We start from the raw sequence: 19498 nt of genomic DNA on the forward strand, positions 1-19498 counted from the left end.
GTGATTGTTACCAGTTTAGGGTAGGTTGATGGCCTAATTGGACACAGTCTGACTGTTCGCATAACCAAGCGAATCCAGTCTTAAACAGTGGACCAATACATTCTGATTTCTGCATAAACCAGTTTGGTTTGAATTTGAAAAGGTCCTAACAGATGCAGCATTTTGCCATTTGGTGCCTGCCTGATAGAAGAGTTTAGACTCCACACACACAACACAGCTATTATTACTTACTATGTAAAATATCATAGATTTATTTAGTCTTTTCATCCCTAGAGGACATTCAACGTTACTTTTACCTTAATTTCTTGAAAAACTTGCAGAAGAAAAAAGTGATGGTCAGGGGCAGTGGCTCACACCTGTAATCCCAGCCCTTTGGGAGGCAGAGGTGGGTGGATCACGAGGTCAGGAATTCAAGACCAGCCTGGCTAAGATGGTGAAACCCCATCCCTACTAGAAATACAAAAAATTAGCCAGACATAGTGGCGGGCACCTGTAATCCCAGATACTCAGGAGGCTGAGGCAGGGATTGCTTGAACCTGGGAGGCAGAGGTTGCAGTGAGCCGAGATCGTGCCACTGCACTCCAGCCTGGGCAATAGAGCGAGACTCCATCTCAAGAAAAAAAGAAAAAAAGTGATAACTACTTTAATTTTTTTGCATGTGAATATCCCCAAACATGTCTTCTTTGTCATTGCTGTTAAGAGCAGCACATGTATTTACTGTAAAGCCACTGAGTGTCAGACCCCGTGCTACGTGTTTGACTTCCACACTCATTACAATTTACATCACCCTGTGAAGTAGAGGCACCATCATTATCCCCAGTTTGCAGATGACAAAAGTGAGGTGCAGAAAGGTCATCTACCTCACCCAAAGTCTGCTCAGTTACAGACTTTCAGGCCAGGTATCTGAATTGGCCCCATCTGATTCATTCCCCAGCACCAGCATGGTTACTGAGCTTCTGCCGCGGGATGGACAGTAGTCCAAGTGCTACAAACACAGCATGAACACAACTACCCCTATTCCCTTGGGGATCAGACGCTGGACAGAAACAAGGTTTGTTAGGTGCAAAGAAATACCATGGAGAAAAGGTAAGTGAGGATAAGGGAATACAGAATGTGGCAAGATATTCTTTAGACGGGGTGGTCAGAAAAGGCCTTACTGTTGAGGCTGGATTTTGTGCGCCATGATCTGAACCACACATTACAGAATACCAAAATCAAATTCACCCTAAAACATAAGCCTGGCAAAGCTGGATGGCACCTGCAAATTAGGTGGATCCAAAGGCTTGTTGGAATTTTGAGTTAGGCTTTAGGTGGTTCTTTCTTGTGAGAAATACAACAAGTCTCACGGATACAAGAGAGGACTGTGGGCTTGGCAGCTGGCATAAAACCTGAAATATGAACCCCTCATGCACTCCAGCCTTCATGAAAGGTGTTTTCACCTTCTGGTAGTTGCTGACAAGATTTTAGATGCTATGGAGTGAGTCAGTCCTTAGAAAGCAATTCAAGAGGCAAGGAATCATTGGCTCTGAGCAATTAGTCACAGTAGGAACCTGAGAATTAGTCACAAACATGCCCTTAAATCAGTTTCCAGTTCTCCTTTCAGTTCTGCCTTCAACCCTTATATGAGTTTAATTCAAAGGTCATTGCCAGCTACAGAGCAAACAAGCTCGACACTGTCCAGTGGACACCACCAAAGAGAAAGACGATGAAGTTCACCAAAGAATGTGAGGAACATTAAGAAAGATGAAGGAAGACTAGGCATCATGAGTGCTGGAGGCCCCCCGGGACTCTGAAAGGATGGAAGGCTACACCATCGGGAGGCTTCGCTCATGACAGGGATTAACAGGCTCGGGGCTGACCTATCAAACCTGAGATCCCTTCAGAATGATCAAGCAAAAATGCAGCTCAAGCTACCTGCCTTGGTTAATCCCGTGGACACTCTCCATGGGGTGACATATAGTCAGAATTCATCTCTGTTCTCCGTGGAAAATACACTTTTCTCACGATAACACTACTTTTTTATTTTTAGGGAACCCTTCATTCAAGGAGATAAAAGTTTATATCATAATTGGGGATTGTAGGGGGGGATTTTCAACCCCCAGAATGAGGAACTCAGGCCTGGATAAGCAAAGGCTACACTGACATTAGACCTGGGATAGGCAAATCACAGCCTGCAAAAGCTGTCATTTTTGTATGTCCTGCAGCTACTAATGCTTTATGCATTCATATACGTGGTTAAAAAAAATCAAAAGAAGTACACTGCTTTGTGACACATGAAAATTATATGAAATTAAAGTTTCAGCTCTCACAAAGTTTCAGCTTTTTATTGGAACTGTTACACCCATTTGCTTACATGTTTACGGCTGCCTTCCGGCCCCACATGCAGGGTGGAATCGTTGCACAGAGACCATGTGGCTTGCGAGGCTGAAAATATTTAGTACCTGTCCCTTCACAGAAAGTGTTTGCCAGCTCCATTGTTTTCAACTCTATTTGAGCTATTGCTCCTTTTATATAACAAATATTTATGTAACAAATAAAGTAGCACTTACTTTACTGTCCTGAAATAAGAACCATAATTAACATAATCTACCAATACACATATTTTAAAAATTGGTATAATATTTTCACTGAATTATAAACTATAAATAAAAGAAAATAGTTTATAATAAAATAATAGGTACTCAAATACATAAATTTTGGGGGCAGGAACAGCACCGTAAGTCATAATGGTGCACTCAGATACTTGCGCCTCTATGCAGAAGGGAGTGAATGAGACAGCTGTTAAGTGCAGACTGACACACGTGGCCGTGTTGACAACCCAAACATCATAACCGGCAGTGCTGCTGTTGCCTAGCGAGAGAGTTCAGTGACAATAGTAGGTGCTTCTGATGGAGCGCACGGCCATCGACAAACTGTGTTTATTAGGGAAGGGACTTCTATCTGACCTCCTCTCTCCTCTCAGTGCCTTACATTGGCTGAATTCAAGCAGAAGCCAGTGGGCGGGGCAGCCTGTTCCATGAAATCCGTAAAGGAAAGACCCCAGGGGCACACAGCAGGGTGGAGAACAACAGACAGTGGGTCCGCATGGCAAGTGGAGAGTATACCAACCACCATCATCTCAGTAAACGATGTGAATTTCCCTGATCCCCCCAGCCAAACTTTTAGATACTGTCTAACCTGATAGCCACTAGCACACATGGCTGTTTATGTTAATATTAACTTTAGAAATTCAGTTACTCAGTGACACAATCCACATTTCTAGAACCCAATAACCCACATGTGGCTGTGGCCACCATACTGGATGGCTTAGATTATAGAACGTTTATATCATCTCGGAAAGTTTCACTGGACAGTGTCTAGTCTAGACTCACATTTGCTCTCTGCTGTTCAAACACACTCCTTGTCCAGTCTATAAGCAAGTGCTGGTGCTATACTTAGGAAATACATCCTGACACCTTCCACTTATCTTCACCATCCCCATCATCACCCTATTCCAAGTTGTCATCCTTTCTACCTGGACCACCAAAGGAGCCCCCAAATGGTCTTTCTATTTCCATTGTGGATCTCTCCCTGCAAATCTGATCTCCTCATAGCATTCAGAGTGATATTAAAAAATAAATCATGATCATATCAGATATAAACATCTTGAACCAGAAATCCCACTGCATGTGCCATGCCTGATGGGGTCTCTAGTACCCAGCTCCCACCTACCCTGAACTCATCTCCTTGTACCATTTCCCCACTCACTATCTCCAGTTGCACTGGACCTTTTTCCACTCGAAAGCACTCAGGGCTGGCCCCTGCTTTGGGCTTCGGCACCCACTTTTCCTTCTGTCTGGAAAGCCAGCTCCTTTCACAACTTCCCAGGCTGGGCCCTTCCTGGAGCAATGTCTGAGCTCAAATGTCATCTCTGCAGGAACAACCTAGTCTGAAAGAGCACATCTCAATGAGTCTTTCCCTCCATGATACCCTGTTCTATTTTCTTCCAAGCATGTATTAATTCTGAAATTATCTTGCTCAATTATTTTTGACACATTTCCCAGCTGCTTCCCCTGAGTGGCATGAGCTCTGCTAAATCTCAAGACAAAGGCAAGTGCCCAGCACAAAGTGAGCTCAGGAAATGCTTTTCAAATGGACTGTGCTTCTGCGGTACCTCTAAAATGAGTTACATCATAGCTTATTTGTTCACTGATAGCAACTGGTTGTACAACAGCTAGGGCTGTAATAACCACACGGTGAGCAACAAAAGCAATAACTCTTCTGCATTTGTTTTGTACTATGGGCCTTTAAAAGCATTGAAGTTCAGCCGACACCGCCATCTCATTATAAATCACCTCTGGAGAGGATGGTTCATTAGGGAACATCAGAGGCAACAGATTGGGCTGAAAAGAAAAGGCAGTGGCTTTGTGCATAATAAATAATTCATTTTCAGATGACTTTTTCTATTTCAATAAGACTTCTCAATTTCATATTTTTATGAGTACACCTCCTTGCATTTGCATTTTCCAAAGATCTTTTTGCATATGGAACTGATCAACAGCCTACGCTCTGTTTCCCGTGTGAGAGGGATGGAGTGGACTGGTTATGAGCTTAGACTCTGGAGCTCATCCATCTGGAATCTAATTTCAGCTCAGCTTCTTAGCTGGGTAGCTTGGGGCCATTCTTCCAACTCTGTGTGGCCTCATCCATCTGTGAAATGGGGATAATAGTCATATCAACTTCACTGGTTCATTGTGGAAATTAAATTCTTTATATATATAAAGAATTTATATATATGTAAAGAACATATATATATAAACAATTTATATATATGTAAAGAATATATATATATATAAAGAATATACTTTCATACGTCTGGAATCAGAAATCCTGCTGCTGCAGGTACCATGGCTGATGGGGTCTCTAGAACCCAGCTCCTGCCTACCCTGACCTCATCTCCTCCATATATGTGTAGAAGTTCCTAGAACCATGCATGGTACCTAATGAACAGTAAGTATTTGGTGTAATTACTGTGAATGCTGTTTAGGGAGCAATGGCTACTCAACAAACACACAATGCAAGAAGGTGCTTTAGAGAAGAGATTTTTTCAAGGGCTGTCTTAATTTGCACTTGGTTGAGAAAGTATAAAAATGAAAGCCATAGTGTGCTGTGCAGTGTGACTGAATTTTCGAAAAGTCTGAGTAAAACAACAGAGGGTATCTGGCATATTAATTAACAGGCTCTCACAAGAAAAGAATGCTATGAACAGTCAAATAAAAAGAGCCAAGAATCTGCTTTTATGCCAAAAATTCAACAAAAATATTATTCAAGCCAGGAAAGGAAGCTCCTTTCCCTAATTTGACAGCCTTTTCTTAAGTCCAGATCTTAGTGGGTGACTGTCACCACACATTACTTGTACTGACTTCAAAACTGCAGGGAGATAGGTGGCCTGGGTTACCATCTCCTCGCAAATCCATGTGTATTCCAATGAGGGATAAGGCTGTTCTCTTACACGCCTTTACTGAGCATCTACTATGGGCTGGTCCTGTGCTTTCTGCTGGGGGATATCAGGAGGACAGGGGTTGAGCATAATCACAGTACTGGAAGGATGTAACACAAACCAGGAGAATACGTGTGCCAGGAGAATACATCCCAAAGATTCTGAAGATGAGGGGAGAGTATGGTTGGTGAAAAGGAAGTTCATTTTATTTAAGAAGAGAAATGTACTTGATTCAGTGAAGCTTATTTAAAATGTATTTCATCAGAAGATTTACAATAGTAAAATTATATGGTTCTAAAAATATAAGTTTTGCCTGCTAAGATCACAGAAATGGAAATTTTCTACCGAATCACAGATTTAAAGAACATGCCTTAATCGAGAAGATTTAGGAAGATGCAGCTGAGATAAGGAGGGAAGAGATTCCTTAACGATTACATGATTGTAATCCCAAGAATCATATAAGGAAGGAACTCAGCATTCAACCAAGTAGGTGGAGGGTCAGGCCAAGAATAATCTGCTTAGCTTCACCTGTAGTTACCTGGGTTATGGAGTCCCCTACTCATGCTAATGAGAAAACAGCATCTGAGTATGAAATATCACACGTCAGGAGGGGTTTACTGGAGTCTAGCAGCTTCCAGTTTGGAAAAAAGGCTTGGAGATTGGACAGGTTTAGGTGGGTGCTAAGGTTTGAATGTTCCCTCCCCAAATCATGTTGACACTTAATCCCCACTGTGGCAATACTGAGAGGTGGCCCTTTAAGAGGTGACTGGGCCGTGAGGGCCCTACACTCGTGAATGAATTAATCCATTCGTGGATGTGAATTAATCCATTCATGGATGTGAATAAACCCATTCATGGATGAATGGATGAATGGGTTATCATGGGAGTGAGACTGGTGGCATTGTAAGAGGAGGCAGAGAGACCTGAGACAGCACATTAGCATACTCTGCCCCGCTCCATGCGACACCCTGCTCTACCTCGGGACTCTGCAGAGAGTTCCCCACCAGCAAGAAGGTCTTCACCACCTGTGGCCTCTTGCTCTTGGACTTCTCAGCCTCCATAACTTTAATACATAATTTTCCTTACAAATCGCCCAGTGTCAGGCATTCTGTTGTAAGCAACAGAAAATAGACAAATACACCAAGGATCAAAGAATAAAATGAGACGAGGAAGGACTTAGAGTGCAAATCAAAGGGACATACTGAGCCTATGTCCTCCCAAGCTTCTTGGGTATGGCTCCTACTTAAGATGGCTCCAAACACATGATCTCAGCCAGCAAGAATAACTCAACAGTGTCAGAATCCTCCGACTTGCCCGCTGCCCTCATTGCGTGCAAGGAAAACATGGGTGCACAGAGTAGAGGAGCCAACATGGATCCTGTCTGAGCACGAGGATCAAGGAAGACCCTGTGGTGGATGTGGCATGGGAGCTGGGCTCTAACGAGAGAATTCTGAGATGCTTTTCCCCTTTCCATCAGAATCACGTTTGAGAAAGAGCTCAGAATGTGATATTGAATTGCACTTCCTAAAGAGCAATGGCACATTTGATTCTTCACTTTTGTTTAAGAGCTCTGCGGTCTTCCCCAGGATCTTCAGGGCTGGGTTTGGCAGATGCGTCTGTATGTATCCTTATGCCATTGTGAACGCCACGTAACACCATCAGCACCAGGTCCCTGTAGGGCTGGAGTTCTCCTTTGATTTTTTTCAAGGATAATACAGACATTGTCTGTCCTGACCATGTCTCCTGATTAAGTTTTATCTCAAGTTTCAGATCCATTCTAATAACTAAAACTTAGTGGTCATAGCTGAGACCCAAAGCAAAATGAGAAGCTGGTCAAGAGACCCGCCTGGGAGGGCACATTCTTAAAATCCCACAGGAGAGCAGAGTCATTCACCTCTACTTCCTGCACTTACAACGGTAACCACAAGTATAATATCCAAACAGCCACTACCCAAGAGGAAGAAAAGAGTTTGTTTTATTTTAAAATGAAGAGGACTTGTAACTATGTTTTAAAGGACTAGCTGATAAGGCATTCAAAAATTGATAAAGTATATACCTATCAGTGCCATGACCCCTGAACACTGGTGTAAACTTGAAACACTTGTTTTAGCCAAAACTCAGGAGGCAGTTAGGAGAGAAGGACGTTGAAGAACTTTGAGAAACGGAGACCTTTCTCCTTGGAAAGCTGAGTCACTACAAAGGGGACTCCAACTTTTCCAAGACATGCAAACACCAGGCCGGGTGCAATGGCTCATGCCCCTAATCCCAGCATTTTGGGAGGCAGAGGCGGGTGGATTGCTTGAGGCCAGGAGTTCGAGACTAGCCTGGGCAACCTGGCAAAACCCCATCTCTACTAAAATATAAAAATTAGCTGGGCTAATATCTGGAGAAGAGTAAACACCAGTCTCCAGATTCAGACACTAACGTGGTTACAGATAAGCACTTGATAAATGAATGCTAATGCACCTTTAATGACCTTTTCCCTCAGAATTTGCCTCCCTAAAAACAAAACCATATTTACTTACAACATAGTAAGGCATGATTTCCTGAACTGAAAAAACAATGTAATAAATCTCATAAAAACCTACAACTGGATTAAGAAACTAAAAAGTTTCAAGACCCTAGACATTAGGGGGAAAAAAGGCAAACTATTGAAGAAGACTTCAAGAAAAAAATACAAAATATTAAAAAAAAATTGTTTCTAAAAAGTAGCTTTCGATGCAAGCACCTGGCGGCATCTCATCCCAGAGCTTTCCTGGAGATGAAATTACACAGCACACAAAGAATGGAGAGGCCACCAGCTTCAGCTCAAGTGGACCTCAGATCCTTGACAACAGCCACAACTGTGCTCCCTTCCAGCATTATTTTTGAAGACTGTTGATCTACTTACTTAGTTGTGCTGTGTGTGAATATTTTAATATTTGAGATTTTATGCCTTTTTTGTCTTGGATATAATTAGAGGGAGATGAGGGATTTCCATTATGCAAAAGATAATGGATTTGACTACATACAAATTACACAAACAGACAGAAGTCTGTGCAAGCCAAAAAAGTCTGACCAGCAAAGTTAGCAAATGGTAAACTAGTAAGAGTACCTGCAATATGTCAATGGAAAAGTTAGGATCGCTAATATATAGAAATAGAAATGTGGTTACCGGTGTCTGGGGAGGAGGGAAGAGGGAGGAGGAATTTGTGTTTAGTAGCTATAGTTTCAGTTTGCAAGATGAAAAAGTTCCAGAGAGCCATTGCCCAACAATGAGAAAATACTTAACATTACTAAACTATACACTTACAATGGTTAAGATGGTAGCTTTAATGTTATATGACTTCTACCATAATAAAAAAAGATTTATAACAAAGGTCTAAGAATAAATTGAATTCCCAAGGAGAAGAGAAAATGGGCAAAGAACAAATGCTTAATAGGAAATAAACATGTCATCTAAGAAGGGCAAATTAAAACAACATTGAGATATAAGTTTTGCTAAATTTTAATATTTCATGTTGGAGGAAGCTGCAGGAAAATGGGTATCACTATGCATAGCAAGTGGAATTTTAAACTGGTTAAGCTTTCTGGAAGGCAGTTTGGCAAACATTATGAAAAAGGAATACAATATTGCATATCCTTTGATTTGAATTTATTTCTAAAAGTTGACCTGAAGGAGTTCATTAAAAATGTGTGCAAAGATTTTTGTACGAAAATATAAACCATAGGTTATTTTATAACAAAAAAGCTCTTAAATTTTAATCTTGTGTGGTAGTGTCATGGAGATATACGGGGAACTTTTTGTTTGGGACTAAAGCTAGGATGCATCTTTTATTCCTGTGTTTTCTTCACACCTATATCCAATGCATTGGGAAGTCTTGTCTTCTAAGGCGGACGCTGCTGCTCCACTGCTATTATCTCAGCCAGGACAGTCCAGGACAGCACCAGACATTTCTCCATGTGCACTCCCTTCTCCCACTGTTGCATGCTTGCAGCTGGGCATCTGGCTCCTGGAATAGCTCACTCTCTCCAGCCTCCCTTGCAGCTAGATCTCAGCACTTGGCAGAGCTCCTAGACTGATGGGGTGGGAGCAGAGGTGGGGTGCTCGGGATGGAGAGGAGCACACTCTCCCCTTTCCCACTTATAAAATATAAAAAATTATAGGCCAGGTATGGTGGCTCATGCCTGTAATTCCAGCACTTTGGGAAGCCGAGGCAGGTGGATCATCTTAGGTCAGGAGTTCAAGACCAGCCTGGCTAACATGGTGAAACCCCATCTCTACTAAAAACACAAAAATTAGCTGGGCCTGTTGGCAGGTGCCTGTAGTCCCAGCTACTTGAGAGGCTGAGGCAGGAGAATCGCTTGAACCTGGGGGGCAGAGGTTGCAATGAGCTGAGATCACGCCACTGCACTCCAGCCTGGGGGACAGAGTGAAACTCTGTCTCACAAAAACAGAAAATAAATAATGAAAAAAATTTTTAAATAATGTTTGCCTTAACTGCCTTTTAAATAATGTTTGCCAAACTGCCTTCCAGAAAGCTTAACAAATACAAAATTCCACCTGCTTTGTGTAATGATTCCCATTTTCCTGCAACTCCATCAACACGGAATGTTAAAATTTAGAAAATAGCTGCAATGTGGGTATGGTTGTCATTAATTTGGAGGAAGAGTGATGGATCTAAAATTTCTTTCACATATTTCTCAATAAAGATAGAATGAACAAAAGCAAAGTAATTTAATAACGGCAACCACATCCCCTGCATGACAACACTCTTTTACCAACCAAGTCAAGGTTAAAATAAGGCACCTTGCTCTGGGAAGACTCAGAACCACTACCAATACAAAAGGTAGATCAGACAGCAGTCTGGCTCTCCACTTAGTTCGAAAGGAAGCCACTCAGAGCCCATTGCTAACAACTCAGCCCACCACGTTTTGTTTTGTTTTGTTTTGTTTTTGAGATGAAGTATTGCTCTATCACCCAGGCTCGCTCTGTCACCTCCGCCTCCTGGGTTCAAGCCATTCTCCTGCCTCAGCCTCCTGAGTAGCTGGGACTACAGGTGTGAGTCACCAGAGCCGGCTAATTTTTGTAGTTTTAGTAGAGACAAGGTTTCACCATGTTGGCCAGGCTGGTCTTGAACTCCTGACCTCAGGTGATCCACCTTTCTTGGCCTCCCAAAGTGCTGGGATTACAGGCATGAGCCACTGCACCCAGCCCCACCAAGTTTTAATCCAATACATTTAATTCAGCTCAAGAATCAGTGGGTGCCTACATACTGCCTACCACTCTTCTTATGTTGTAAAATATGGGAGCTGTGGATAAGTCCCTTACCTGAAAAAATTTATAACATTATTGCCAGAGTATTGCATATATTTTAAATTCAGTAGTTAAGTAATCATAATATAGATAACACTTACTGTGTGTTTGCTATAGGCTGGGTACTCTAATAAGTACTTTTTTTTTTTTTTTTTTTTTTGAGGCAGGGTCTCACCCTGTCACACAGGCTGGAGTGCTGTGGTACGTTCTTGGCTCACTGCAAGCTCCGCCTCCCAAGTTCAAACTATTCTCATGCCTCAGCCTCCCAAGTAGCTAAGATTATCGGCATGTGCCATCACACCTGGCTAAGTTTTGTAGTTTTTTTTTTAGTAGAGATGGGGTTTTGCCATGTTGGTCAAGCTGGTCTTGAACTCCTGGCCTCAAGTGATCTGCCCACCTCGGCCTCCCAAAATGCTGGGATTACAGGCATGAGCCACCGCACCTAGTCTAAGTACACTTTAATTACTGTTTTATCCTTACAACTTTATAAGTAGGTATTATCCCTGTAACTCCCTCTACAGATGAGGAAATTGAGGCACAATGAAATTAAGTATGGTTGCATGAATAGCTAGTGGAGACCATAATTTGTTATGTTATTCTTTTTCCTGGGAGACTCGTAATGACCAATGAAAAATGGAAAACAGGTACTAAGATGAGGGACCTCTTTGAGCCTCAGTTTCCTCAAGTGGAAATAAAGGAGAATTGTCGAAGATGCTGTTCATTGCCTTAGAATACCTTTTCTTTTATTTCCTTGTAACAGAATTTGAGCAATCTTTCATGCTAAAAAAGTAGGTTTCTCAGCCTTCCTTACAATTAGATGTGGCTATATAACTAAGTTTTGGTGAATTGGATGCAACCAGAAACTGTATGTTGGATTCTTGTAAAGTTCTTTTGAAAAGGAAAAGAGACTGGCCCTGTTTGAACTTTGGCCTTTTTAAGTTTTGCTGGTCTGCAGAATATAGATGTGATGGCTGGCATCCCAGCAGCTATGTTGGACCATGAGGTAATCATGAGGATGGAATCCATGCACCTGACTGCTGAAGTAGAAGGAAAGATGGGGCCTGGGTCTCAGATGTCATGGAACACCAAACCAGCCCTAGACCACTAACCTTAGGAACTTCTTTACATGAAAGAAGAAATCTGTACTTAACTCATAATTAGCCAGAGGGTAAGTTAGGGTGCCTGGGCAGGGAGCTCTGTTGCTCTCAGCCAAATGCAATTCCTAATTGGTACACATGTCAAGGGGGTCTCCACTGAGATTTTTGTTTCTAGCTCTACCATTATACATTCTTAGAACATTACATAGGGCTGGGCACGGTGGCTCACATCTGTAATCCCAGTACTTTGGGAGGCTAAGGTGGGTGGATCACGAGGTCAAGAGTTCAAGACAAGCCTGGCCAAGATGGTGAAACCCTGTCTCTACTAAAAATGCAAAAATTAGCCAGGCATGGTGGTGGGCACCTGTAATCCCAGCTACTGGGGAGGCTGAGACAGGAGAATCAACCCCGGACGGCAAAGGTTGCAGTGAGCCAAGATCGCACCACCGCACTCCAGCCTGGGCAACAGACTGGCACTCCGTCAAAAAGAAAAAAAAAAGAACATTACATGTAGCATAGCAAGAACAGGTGCTGTAGGATGGGAAATGTTTCAGAGGCTGTTGAAGGACAGAGAGAGGGCTCTTGTGGGACTGAGGACTCGTATAGGCCATGAGGAACGATGGGGTTTAGAAGAGGCAACAGCAGCATCAGGGCCACCAGAGGCAGGAGAAACGCCGAGTGTGGAGTGTGGGAAACAGCATGCAGCCGGGCCTGGGCCGAGGGCAGCAGCAGGAGGTGCTCAGGGAGAGCTGCTCAGTCTCCTCAGACCAGAGGTGTGGAAAGGAGCAAATTCAAACCACTACTTGCTCAAGACAAACGGCGTTGCCATTCCCAGTGACAGAACCACTGAGAGTCCAAAGCAAAGGGCACGGCCGTCTCACACAAAATAATAACCAGGGAGGCCCAGCGCCTCTCAAATAAAACAGTAAGAGCCCTTGTCAACTACAGTAACCCAAACACCTTTACATTTCCTAATGAACAACACAGTAACCAGTTTAGTGTCACCGGGCAGCTGTCCAGTTGCCTTGGACTGAAGACCTGATTTCTGGTGTTCTTTCAGCATGACAGAAGAACGCTGGTCAATATTTTCTAATTGGTGGTCTGGGGGACCAGGCGGGTGTTTGCCAAATGTCTCAGCACATTTCACTCCTATGCTTGATCTACATGGACTCCAGAGCTGTGTGTGTTCGAGATCCACAGGTGTCTACATCATATGCTACAAACACATCTATCGAGTCGTCAACAATTTTCACACAATAGCAGACCCAAATCTAATACCTGGAGTTTATTTTCTAAATAATACGTTAAGAAAATTGGTTTATATTTGTATAGATATAGATATAGATACACACACGCACACACACACACACACACACACACACACACATAACGATTGGCTATTGGCAGTCAACTTTGTGGTTTCGTTTCTCACTGTCCTGATTCTTGGCTCCTCCCCTTTTCCCCACCCAGCCTGGGACTCAGTGCGGCGCCGGCGCCTTCCCCTCCCCCGAGTTCAGTTCTAACAGCCCAGGGCGGGGCTTGCTTACCATAGCCAGCGGCACAACTCCAATCAAGTCCTTTGGGCTCACATAGATCTTGGACACTCCCAAGTCAGACGTGATCTCTCCGGGGTACTCGACCTGCCACGTGACCAGCTGTGTGGCTGGCAGGTCACCAGGCTCTTCCACCTCCACATCGATCTGCATGACCTCGTAGGAGGCGCCATCCGCACTGGAGAGAAGACACAGAGGAGAACAGCTTTCAGGGACTGATGAGGTATGGCACGCTTGGCAGAGAGTGGGCGGCCCTTGGCCATTTCTCTATGTACCTCCACATGGAACCAAGCGCACACATCTCTGCAAAGAGCATTCAGAGATGCCATTCCAAAACGAACAAAGGAGCTTTAATATGCTCTGCAGCATTAGCCTGGGCTTAGATACTGTCACTCCAGGTTCCAAAGTCCTTCTGTTTGTGGGCTGCTCAGCTGCCCCAGAGCAGGTATTTGTGGATAATTATGGGAAATAGTGATTGCATTTCTTAAACACTTCCTTTCCCATTCTCCATTTAGGAGAACACTTTTCCTCACTCTCACAAATTTCTAGGCAACTTCCATTGGATTTTCCAAAGCCACAGCCAGATTGAGTTGGTTGCACAGAATTTTAAGGATGTCTGAGGGTGACACAGTTGTGTTATTGGCAGTGATAAGACAGAATTGCACAGAAACAGGCAACGTGTGCACAACAAACCAGGGTCAAGGGGGTCGCTGTGATGAGCATGGAGAAGTCACCAGATATTACGTGGAGATGGGAGTCATTGCGACAAAGACTGGTTTCTAGACCCTCAATTTTCCTATAAGCATACATCTAGAAACAAATCCACCTAGGACTTTCTGGATTATTTTTACAGCTATTTAAGTAATTAATTAGCTGCCTGCCTCATCATAGTGATTTTTGGTATGATGTCTGCTCTTCTATGTGACAGGTAGAAAAATGTAGATTTGGTGCCTGCCTCTGCCTGAAAAGGAAGTGACCAGGGTGTAGCTGAGAATGAACAGAGGAATCCGCTGAGAGAGGTACTTTTTAAAGCCTCAGTGGCCAAACAACGTCTACGTGTCAGATCTATTTCTAAAAGATTTGAATTTTACACCTTTGAGAAATGATCACTGAACTCTGACATGTAGGAGAATAAGGTTTGTTCTTTTATATGTGACAAAGCTATTGACATTTTTATCACACCGTCAATCTCACCCAAGTTTACCGGTAAGAAGCTCAGAGATAAACGGTGGGGCTTCCAGGGAGCCTTGTTCTCAATAGGAGGGATGAGATGGAAAACTAGAAGATCAGGGGAGATTCTAATGAACAGAGAAGGAGGGCGAGAGAGACAGACAGAGAGAGAGAAAGGAGGGAGGGAGGGAAAAATGGAAGGAGAGAGAGAAGTAGAAAGAAAGGAAAGATAAAAGCGATCACTTGAAGTCAGGAGTTTGAGACCAGCTTGGCCAACAGGGCAAAACTCTATCTCTACTAATAATACAAAAATTAGCTGGGTGTGGTGGCATGTGCCTATAATCCCAGCTAGTTGGGAGGCTGAGGCATGAGAATTGAACCTGGGAGGCAGAGGTTGCAGTGAGCTGGGATCACACCAGTGCATTCCAGCCTGGGTGATGAAATGAAAATATGTCTCAAAAAAAAAAAAGGGAAAAGAAAAAGAAAGATAGAAGAGGAGGAAGGGGAGGAGGAAAAGAAAGAGGAGGGGAAGGAGGGGGCCGGAGAAATGAGATGAGAAGAACTGCCAAAAGAAAGAACCCCAAATCTCTTCCATGGAACGGGGTAGCTGCAATGGGCTGTGAGTAATGAAGGGGAAAAGACGACAGCTGGTTTTTGAATCCTACAAAACGCACTCCCTCTTGGCTTTTGAAAGAAAGTGGTTTAATTCTTTGAGAAGCAGCTGCTGTGATAAAAATCCCCTAGGCCACGGTGGGCTTTTTTCTCCCATACCTTTCTTTACATAAGAAAAGAATGCCACTGTCTCTTTGAAGCCCCTGACTGGCATTTCTAGTCACAGCTAGAGAGAACTTGGAATTAAGATGCTAGAATGCACCTTCGTTTTTGTATTCGAACTTGACAAGAATTTTGGTATGACTTTCCCATTGATGAAATGGGATAATCTCCGTCTCCGAGTCTGTGGGCCTCGCCTTCTGTTTTTAATCACAAAGAAAGGAATTTATATAACAGAATTAGCATTACTTGCGTTTGAGCTGTGTGAACACCGGCATAAATGTAGCTCATTGTACACAATAACTGCCCATATGTCCACATCACATTCTACCCCTATTTCCTTCCAGATTCCTTGACCTCAAATAAAAACCAACAATCCTTGCCCGCAGTAGAATACTGGATGCCTCCCACCCCACAGCCCCATACTTCTGTTTTTAGAGTTTGTTTTATCAGGAAAACCTTATACATCTCTTCATATATGTAAGTTCTTGCCATCCTAGAAGAGCCACCTATAATACCCTTCAATTAATAGAAGGTAATAAGTGCTCCCTTTACTTCATCTAATTTTACTCTTCCTGTAACCTTACGTGATTGTTCTATACATTTAGATTTTCCCTTTTTCTTTAGATCCCTTTCCCAGCCAAGATGTAAAAGCAACAAGGTCTTTTTTCAGCCAACTGCCCTCTCTATGAAGTGGTGATGAAAATATTCTATGTTGGGAATTCTTTTTCTTTTTTTTTATTATACTTTAAGTTCTAGGGTACATGTGCACAATGTACAGATTTGTTACATATGTATACATGTGCCATGTTTGTGTGCTGCACCTATTAACTCGTCATTTACATTAGGTATATCTCCTAATGCTATCCTTCCCCCTTCCCCCCACCCCACAATAGGCCCCGGTGTGTGATGTTCCCCTTCCTGTGTCCATGTGTTCTCATTGTTCAATTCCCACCTATGAGTGAGAACATGCGGTGTTTGGTTTTTTGTCCTTGCAATAGTTCACTGAGAATGCTGGTTTCCAGCTTCATCCATGTCCCTACAAAGGACATGAACTCATCATTTTTTATGTCTGCATAGTATTCCATGGTGTATATGTGCCACATTTTCTTAATCCAGTCTATCATTGTTGGACATTTGGGTTGGTTCCATTACTGGGTATATACCCAAAGGATTATAAAACATGCTGCTATAAAGACACATGCACACGTATGTTTATTGCGGCACTATTCACAATAGCAAGACTAAGTTGGGAACTCTCAATCCAGGACTATACCAACCTTCAGGAAGGTTGTACCTTGAGCTTGTGGGGAAAACGTTGTATGCGCGTGATTTTCTGGAAAGATTCCTTAGCTTGCATGAGTTCCCCAATAGTTCATCTACAGTACGATTATGGACCGAGTTCCTGACAATTTCCTTTATAAATTCTGCACATGGTGATCTCGTTGGAATATCTCATCACATGTATCTTAGTGTGACAGTGGGAATTTGAATTTTAATGCCCCTTTGTAAATATTTAGCACTTAACAGCTTTCCAAACTCTTGCGTAGTAGGCAATATTTATCACTTCTCCATGTTTCACTCTAAAGACAAGGACTGTGCCTTTGCAGTTTGTGTGTCTGACAGATGGTACATGTCCTGAAAATGGTGGTCATATTTATCTTGTTGCATTTTGTGCTTACAATAGAGTGTAATTCCTGATATTCATCAGAAGGGAATCTGATGTATTGTAGGAGATAAATACAGTTGGTTAAAGAGAAGTTTATAAAACATATCTGGTTAAAGCAGTGATTTTTCCACCTCCCATGCATTCAAATTGCCTGGAGGAACTTTACAAATAAAGCAATGTCCAGGCATCATCCTTACAGATTTCTGATTGTTCCTGAGTGGAGCCAGGGTCAAAGGTGTTCAAACCAGAGCGACTCCATCCTGAATGAGGGCTGGAAAATGAGGCTGGCCCTTGCTGGGCAGCATTCCCAGAAAGTTAGGCATTCCTAGCCTCTAGATGTTTACAGTTAAGGGAACAAATTAATAATGTTTACTAAACAGACCCAGACTTGGGAGTGTCCAGATATCCCAATAGCTGGAGAAAAAAGACATTACTGAAGTTGCTTATCAGCTTGAGGAGATTTTGGGCTGAGACGATGGGCAGGATACAAAATCAATGTACAAAAATCACAAGCATTCTTATACACCAATAACAGACAAACAGAGAGCCAAATCATGAGTGAACTCCCATTCACAATTGCTTCAAAGAGAATAAAATACCTAGGAATCCAACTTACAAGGGATGTGAAGGACCTCTTCAAGGAGAACTATAAACCACTGCTCAATGAAATAAAAGAGGATACAAACAAATGGAAGAACATTCCATGCTCATGGGTAGGAAGAATCAATATCGTGAAAATGGCCATACTGCCCAAGGTCATTTACAGATTCAATGCCATCCCTATCAAGCTACCAATGACTTTCTTCATAGAATTGGAAATAACTACTTTAAAGTTCATATGGAACCAAAAAAGAGCCAGCATCGCCAAGTCAATCCTAAGCCAAAAGAACAAAGCTGGAGGCATCACGCTACCTGACTTCAAACTATACTACAAGGCTATGGTAACCAAAACAGCATGGTACTGGTACCAAAACAGAGATATAGACCAATGGAACAGAACAGAGCCCTCAGAAATAATGCCGCATATCTACAACTATCTGATCTTTGAGAACCTGATAAAAACAAGCAATGGGGAAAGGATTCCCTATTTAATAAATGGTGCTGGGAAAACTGGCTAGCCATATGTAGAAAGCTGAAACTGGATCCCTTCCTTACACTGTATACAAAAATTAATTCAAGATGGATTAAAGACTTACATGTTAGACCTAAAACCATAAAAACCCTAGAAGAAAACCTAGGCAATACCATTCAGGACATAGGCATGGGCAAGGACTTCATGTCTAAAACACCAAAAGCAATGGCAACAGAAGCCAAAATTGACAAATGGGATCTAATTAAACTCAAGAGCTTCTGCACAGTAAAAGAAACTACCATCAGAGTGAACAGGCAACCTACAGAATGGGAGAAAATTTTCGCAACCTACTCATCTGACAAAGGGCTAATATCCAGAATCTACAAAGAACTCAAACAAACTTACAAGAAAAAAACAAACAACCCCATCAAAAAGTGGGCGAAGGATATGAACAGACACTTCTCAAAACAAGACATTTATGTAGCCAAAAAACACATGAAAAAATGCTCATCATCACTGGCCATCAGAGAAATGCAAATCAAAACCACAATGAGATACCATCTCACACCAGTTAGAATGGCGATCATTAGAAAGTCAGGAAACAAGAGGTGCTGGAGAGGATGTGGAGAAATAGGAACACTTTTACACTGTTGGTGGGACGGTAAACTAGTTCAACCATTGTGGAAGTCAGTGTGGTGACTCCTTAGGGATCTAGAACTAGAAACACCATTTGACCCAGCCATCCCATTACTGGGTATATACCCAAAGGATTGTAAATCATGCTGCTATAAAGACACATGCACATGTATGTTTATTGCGGCACTATTCACAATAGCAAAGACTTGGAACCAACAGAAATGTCCAACAATGATAGACTGGATTAAGAAAATGTGGCACATATACAGCATGGAATACTATGCAGCCATAAAAAATGATGAGTTCATGTCCTTTGTAGGGACATGGATAAAGCTGGAAACCATCATTCTCAGCAAACTATCACAAGGACAGAAAAACAACCACCGCATGTTCTCACTCATAGGTGGGAACTGAACAATGAGAACACATGGACAGAGGAAGAGGAACATCACACACTGGGGACTGTTGTGGGGTGGGGGGATGGGGGAGGGATAGCATTAGGAGATATACCTAATGTAAATGATGAGTTAATAGGTGCAGCACACCAACATGTCACATGTATACATATGTAACAAACCTGCACGTTGTGCACATGTACCCTAAAACTTAAAGTATAATAATAATAAAATTAAAAAAAAGACATCCCTAATTTTGTTTTACCGATAATAATGTTGCCGGGCGTGGTGGCTCATGCCTGTAATCCCAGCACTTTGGGAGGCTGAGGTGGATGGATCACTTGAGGTCAGGAGTTCAAG

At 42.5% G+C, this 19498-nt stretch overlaps 1 protein-coding gene across 1 annotated transcript in view, besides 3 other annotated features; it reads right to left on the bottom strand.

Annotated features, from left to right (window-relative positions):
- Positions 1-19498, bottom strand: part of TMEM132D (transmembrane protein 132D) — an 832300-nt gene that overhangs the window by 252489 nt on the left and 560313 nt on the right. The window contains exon 4 of the mRNA NM_133448.3: positions 13420-13603. Within this exon, the coding sequence (NP_597705.2) occupies positions 13420-13603 (184 nt within the window). The remainder of the gene's footprint in view (positions 1-13419; positions 13604-19498) is intronic.
- Positions 9462-9648: a silencer, noted in NCBI's record as "fragment chr12:129818221-129818407 (GRCh37/hg19 assembly coordinates)". NCBI's record gives its function as "represses an EF-1alpha promoter that drives an FKBP-Casp9 reporter gene in an ReSE screen in K562 erythroleukemia cells {active_cell/tissue: K562}" and the evidence as "EXISTENCE:reporter gene assay evidence [ECO:0000049][PMID:32094911]".
- Positions 12081-13013: an enhancer, noted in NCBI's record as "H3K4me1 hESC enhancer chr12:129820840-129821772 (GRCh37/hg19 assembly coordinates)". NCBI's record gives its function as "activates a minimal SCP1, AML or CMV promoter by ChIP-STARR-seq in primed H9 embryonic stem cells {active_cell/tissue: H9 hESC(primed)}" and the evidence as "EXISTENCE:reporter gene assay evidence [ECO:0000049][PMID:30033119]".
- Positions 13014-13946: an enhancer, noted in NCBI's record as "H3K4me1 hESC enhancer chr12:129821773-129822705 (GRCh37/hg19 assembly coordinates)". NCBI's record gives its function as "activates a minimal SCP1, AML or CMV promoter by ChIP-STARR-seq in primed H9 embryonic stem cells {active_cell/tissue: H9 hESC(primed)}" and the evidence as "EXISTENCE:reporter gene assay evidence [ECO:0000049][PMID:30033119]".

Source organism: Homo sapiens, chromosome 12, assembly GCF_000001405.40.
Source record: "Homo sapiens chromosome 12, GRCh38.p14 Primary Assembly".
In the NCBI taxonomy this organism is placed as follows: Eukaryota; Metazoa; Chordata; class Mammalia; order Primates; family Hominidae; genus Homo; species Homo sapiens.